Source organism: Homo sapiens, chromosome 2 (assembly GCF_000001405.40).
Source record: "Homo sapiens chromosome 2, GRCh38.p14 Primary Assembly".
Taxonomy (NCBI): Eukaryota; Metazoa; Chordata; class Mammalia; order Primates; family Hominidae; genus Homo; species Homo sapiens.
In genome coordinates, this window is record NC_000002.12 from 57034177 (window position 1) to 57040176 (window position 6000).

Genomic DNA, 6000 nt, shown 5'->3' on the forward strand with positions numbered 1-6000 from the left:
GTTGTAGTGGGCCCTTCAAGGTATAAAATTATACATGAAGTGACCCATTAAGGGGCTAATTACACTTAAACATTTTAATAAATCAATTTATTATATTTAATTTAATTCCATTCAAATGATATTAACTAAGTGCCAGCTCTATATTAAGCTGCTGAAGACATAGCAGCAAAGACTTTGAGCTCCTTGCTCAAATTACGGATTTTAATGTTTAATGATTAGTGATGTTTAGCATTTTTTCATATGCTTGTTGGCCTTTTGTATGTCTTCTTTTGAGAAGTGTCTGTTCATGTCCTTTGCTCATTTTTTAGTGAGGCTGTTTTTTTTTTGCTTCTTAATTTGTTTCCCATAGATTATGAATATTAGAACTCATTGAATGCAGAGTTTACAAATATTTTCTCCCATTCTGTAGGTTTTGTGTTTAATCTGTTGATAACTTATTTTGCTGTAAAGAAACTTTTTCATTTAATTGGGTCCTATTTATCAATTTTTGTTTTTGTTGCAATCTGCTTGTTGAACTAATACATTTATCATTATGTATTGCCTTTTTTGTCCTTTTTGATCATTGCTTTAAAGGCTGTTTTGTCTGAAATAAGAATAGCAACCTCTACTCTTTTTTGTTTTCTGTTTGCTTGATAGCTCTTTCTCCATTCCTTTACTTTGAGCCTGTGGATGACATTGCATGTGAGACGGGTTTCTTGACGACAGCATATAGTTAGGAGTTGCATGTTTATCCAATTTGCCATGCTGCACCTTTTAAATGCGGCATTTAGAAGCAAATACTAAGGGAATTTATAACCACCAGAACAGCTTTACAGGATGTCCTCAAGGGCACGCTAAAAGTGGAAATGAAAGGTTGTTACCAGCCACCACAAAAACACACTTAAATACATAGACCACTGACACTAAAGCAACCTCACAGTCAAGTCTACATAACATCCAATTAACAACATGCTGTTAGGATCAAATCCATACAAATCAATATTACCTCTGAACATAAATGGTGTTCATAGTCTTAACGTGACTATTTAATCCCTCAGCTCTTGAATTGTTTTACTGGATTCCTTAGATACCTTGGATTGGGTTTTTAATGTTCTCCTGAATCTCAATCTTTGTTGCCATCTAGATTCTGAGTACAATGTCTATGTCATTGTAGCCATTTCAGCCTGATTAAGAATCATTCTGGAAAGTGACTGCAGTCATTTGGAGGTAGAAAGACACTTTGGCTTTTAGAGTTGCCAGAGTTCTTGCAGTAGTTCTTTCTCTTCTGTATAGGCTGATATTTTCCTTTAATCTTTAAAGTTGCTGTCCTTTTTATGGGGCTCTTTGCTTTCATATTGTTTGATGGTCCTGAGGTTTTCACTGTGGTATAAGTTGGATATAGTCAATTGGCTTCCTTTCTGAATGATTTCAGGGGGCCAAGGCTCAGCTCAGCACTCCTGTGTTGCTTCCTCTAATGCTGGGTGCCTGAGATAAGGCCTATGACTTTCTTCTCTAGCCCCTTTACCTCAAGCACTGCTGTGCTGGAGGAACCAAGGTGTTCCTGGTCTGCTGGCAACACTTTGACTGGGGTGCTGACAAAAGCACTTCATTGGGGCAGTGTCAGCAGGTTCTGTACTCGTGCATATGTTCCAGTGGCAACAGGGTGGTGGTGGGACAGCAGGATTTGTTCACACTTACAAAGTGGTTGGAGGAGACTGTGGTTGAGTGCATTTTAGCAAAGTGGTGCGAGGAGGCTTTGGGTGGCTGCAGATTGGTGGAGTCTCATCTGCAAAAGCTCTCTAACAGTTAGGTGGGATTTGCTGGTAAAAGAACTACGGTGATGTACACTGGGAAGCTCTCCAGCTGGGCATCTAAGCCTGTACTGCAGGTGGGTGTGGCAAGGCAAGGACCCTGGAAGACGCCAACAGACAGGGGGACCATCAAAACAGACTGCCCTGCTCTCACATGTGAGATAGCCCTGTTCGGTCCAAATCTAACAGTTAACAAGTGCTAAAGTCACCTAGAGGATCATGGCTTTGGATCTCTCAGATATGGTTTTTTTCCTTTCTAGGGCTGCAACCCAAAGTTTGGAATTGAGTTTGGGACAAAAGTGTCTCAAGGGATGCATGGATTCAGATGAGCCTTGCCAAATTTGCAGTCATCAGCCAGCAGGGGTCATTCCTCTGTTGCCTCCCTATCATAATGTACCTTATATTCATTATTCAATTCACCATTAATGGGTACTTAGGTTGATTCTGTGTCTTTGCTATTGTGAATAGTGCTGCAGTGAATAAATCAATGCATGTGTAGTTTTGGTAGAATGATTTATTTTCCTTTGGGTGTATATGCATTAATGGGATTGCTGAATTGAATGGTAATTCTATTAGTTTTTTGTGAAATCTCCAAACTGCTTTCCACAGTAGCTGAATTAGTTTACATTCCCACCAACAATGTAGACATATTCCCTTTCTATTCTGCCTCACCAACATCTATTTCCTGACTTTTTGATAACAGCCATTCTGACTGGTGTGAGATAATATCTTATTGTGGTTGTGATTTGCATTTCTCTGATAATTAATGATGTGATTAATTTTTCAAATGTTTTTGACCACTTATATATCTTCTTTTGAGAAGTCTCTGCCCATTTTCTTTGCTCTCATTTTCATAGAGTTATTTGACCTTTGCTTGTTGATTTTTTAGTATTCCTCGTAGAATCTGTATATCAGAACTTTGTTTAGTGCATAATTTGCAAATATTTTCTTCTCAACCTATAAAAGTCATAGAAGAAAACCTACCAAGTACTCTTCCAGATATCAGCCTTGGCAAAGATTTTATGACACACAGGGAGTACTATCAACAGAGCAAAACAGACAACCTACAGAAGTAGAGAAAATATTTATTACATTTTCAGTTTCATTACTCATTATTGGTTTGTCCAGATTATCTATTTCCTCATAGTTCAATGTAGGTAGTTTTTATGTGTCTATGAATTTATCAGTTTCTTCTAGATTTTCCAATTTGTTGGCATGTAGCTGTTCATAACAGTCTCTAAAGATTTCTTGCTTTTTTTTTTTGAGATGGAGTCTCACTCTGTTGCCAGGCTGGAGTGCAGTGGTATGACCTTGGCTCACTGCAATCTCTGCCTCCCAGGCTCAAGCCATTCTTCTGCCTCAGCCTCCCTAGTAGCTGGGATTACAGGCATGTGCCACCACACCCAGCTAATTTTTGTATTTTTAGTAGAGATGGGGTTTCACCATGTTGGCTAGGATGATCTCAATCTCCTGACCTTGTTATCTACCCATCTTGGCCTCCCAAAGTGCTGGGATTACAGGTGTGAGCCACTGCACCCAGCCCAGATTTCATGTGTTTCTATGGTCTCATTTGTTATGTCTCATTTTATTTGGGTCCTCTCTCTCTTTTTCTAAGTATAGCTAATGGCTTGTCAATTTTGTTTATCTTTTTAAAAACCAACTTGTAATTATGTTGCTCTTCTGTGTAGATTTTTGGTCTCAATTTTATTTACTTCTGTTCTGATCTTTAGTATAATGTATTTTTTCTTCTACTAATTTTTGGTTTCTTCAGTTTTTGCTGACCTCATTTCTTGAGGTGCATTATTAGGTTGTTTAATTAACATATTTCAATTTTTTAATGTGGGAATTTATTGCTACAAACTTCTCTCTTACTGTTGCTTTTGTTGTATTGCATAAATTTTAATATGTTGCATTTCCATTTTCATTTGTTTTAAGAAATTTTTAAATTTCCTTCTTAATTTCTTCATTGACCCATTGGTCATTCAGGAGAATTTTGTTTAATTTCCATGTGTTTGCATAGTTTCCAAGGTTCTTCTTTCTAGTTTTATTTCTAATTTTATTCCATTTTGGTAAGACAAGATATTTGATATAATGTCTACTTTTTGAATTTTTTGAGACTCGTTTTGTGGTTTAACATATGGTCTGTATTGGAGAATGTTCCATGTACTGATGAAAATAATGTGTATTCTGCAGCAGTTGGGTGAAATGTTCTGTAAATATCAGTTAGGCCTGATTGGTCTAGTGTGTATTAATAGTTTAACTTGGATGTTTCTTTGTTGATCATCTGAATGATCTGTCCACTACTGAGAGCAGGGTGTTGAAGTCCCTAGTATGATTGTATTGCAGTCTTTCTATCCATTTAGATCAATTAATTTTGCTGTAAATACTTGGGTGGCTTGGTGTAGGGTGCATATATATTTATCATTGTTAAGTCCTCTTGCTGAATTTACCCGTTTATCATTATATAGTAACCTTCCTTTGTTTCCTTTTACGGTCTAATACAATTATAGCTACTTTTGCTCTTTTTCGGTTGCCAGTTGCATTAAATCTCTTTCTTCATCCATTTCAGTCTATGTGTTTTTATAGGTGAAGTCAGTTTCTTATAGGCAGAATACAACAGGGTATTATTTTTGTCCATTCATCCTTCCAGTCTTTTTATTACCAAATTCAGTCTATTTACATTTATTGTTATTGATTAGTAAGGACTGAGCAATGCCATTATCTTGCTTATTTTCTTGTTATTTTATAACTCTTCTCTTCCTTTCTTCCTTTTTTATTATATTTCTTTGTGATTTTCTCTGGTAGTATGTTTTCATTTATTGCTTTTTATTTTTAGTGAATCTAGTATAGATTTTTGCATTGTGGTTACAATGAGACAAAACATCTTACAGATATTACAAGTTATTTATAAGTGATGATCACTTACCATAAATTAAAAATAAAATAATATAAACAAAGAAAAAATGAAAAAAAATCACCTGCACTTTAACTTTGTTCTTCCTGCATTTTGACTTTTTGTTATCTCAATTAATATATCTTTAAATTACCTATCTCTTGACAGTTTTCTGTAGCTTTTACTGTTTTTTATGGCTTTGTCTTGTGCACCTCATACTGGAGTTATAAGAGGATTTCATACCACAGTTGCAATGTTAGAATATTCCGGGTTTGTCTGTGTATTTACTTTTACCAGTGGGTTTTATACCTTCAAGTGTTTTCTTTTTTGCACATTAGGGGGACTTTGTTTTCTTTCAGATTAAAGAACTCTCTTTAATGTTTCTTGTAAGAAAGTCTGATGGCAGTGAATTTTCTCAGCTTTTATATGTCTGGGAAAGACTTTATGTATCCTTCATATTTAAAGAATAGCTTTTCTAGTTACAGTGTTCTTAGATGACAGTTTATTTCTTTCAGCACTTTGAATATGTCATCTCACTCCTTCCTGGCCTGTATTGTTTCCATTGAGAAGTCTGTTGACAGATGAATTAGAGTTCCTTTATATTATTTGCTTCTTTTTTCTTGTTGCTTTCAGAATCCTCTCTTGGTCCTTGACCTTTGAAATTTTGATTATTATATGCCTTGGGCAGTTTTATTTGGGTCAAATCTGTTCAGTGTTCTCTGACCTTCCTGCACCTAAATATTTATCTCTAAAGTTTTGGCATGTTTCTGTTATTATTTCTTTGAATAAACTTTCTACCTCTTGCTCTTGCTCAACACCCTCTTGAACCCCAATAATTCTTAGGTGTGGTCTTTGGAGGTAATTTTCTATATCTTGTAGATGATCTTGTACCTTCTTTTTTTTTGTATTTTTTTTTCTCCTCTGACACAGTGTATTTTCAAATTGTCTCTAAGTTCTCTGGTTTACTCTGCTCCATGCCTTCTGCTATGGAGAACAATTAACACTTTTTTTAGTTTAACAAATATATTTCTTTCTTTTTCTTTTTTTTTTTTTTTTGAGACAGAGTCTTGCACTCTTTCTTGCCCAGGCTGTAGAGCAGTGGCACAATCTCAACTGACTGCATCTCTGCCTCTCAGGTTCAAGTGATCCTCCTGCCTCAGCGTCCCCTAGTATCTGGGATTACAGGCACGTGCCACCACACCTGTCTAATTTTTGTATTTTTAGTAGAGACGGGGATTTCGCCATGTTGGCCAGGCTGGTCTCGAACTCCTAACCTCAGATGATTCCACCTGCCTCAGCCTCCCAAAGTGCTGGGAT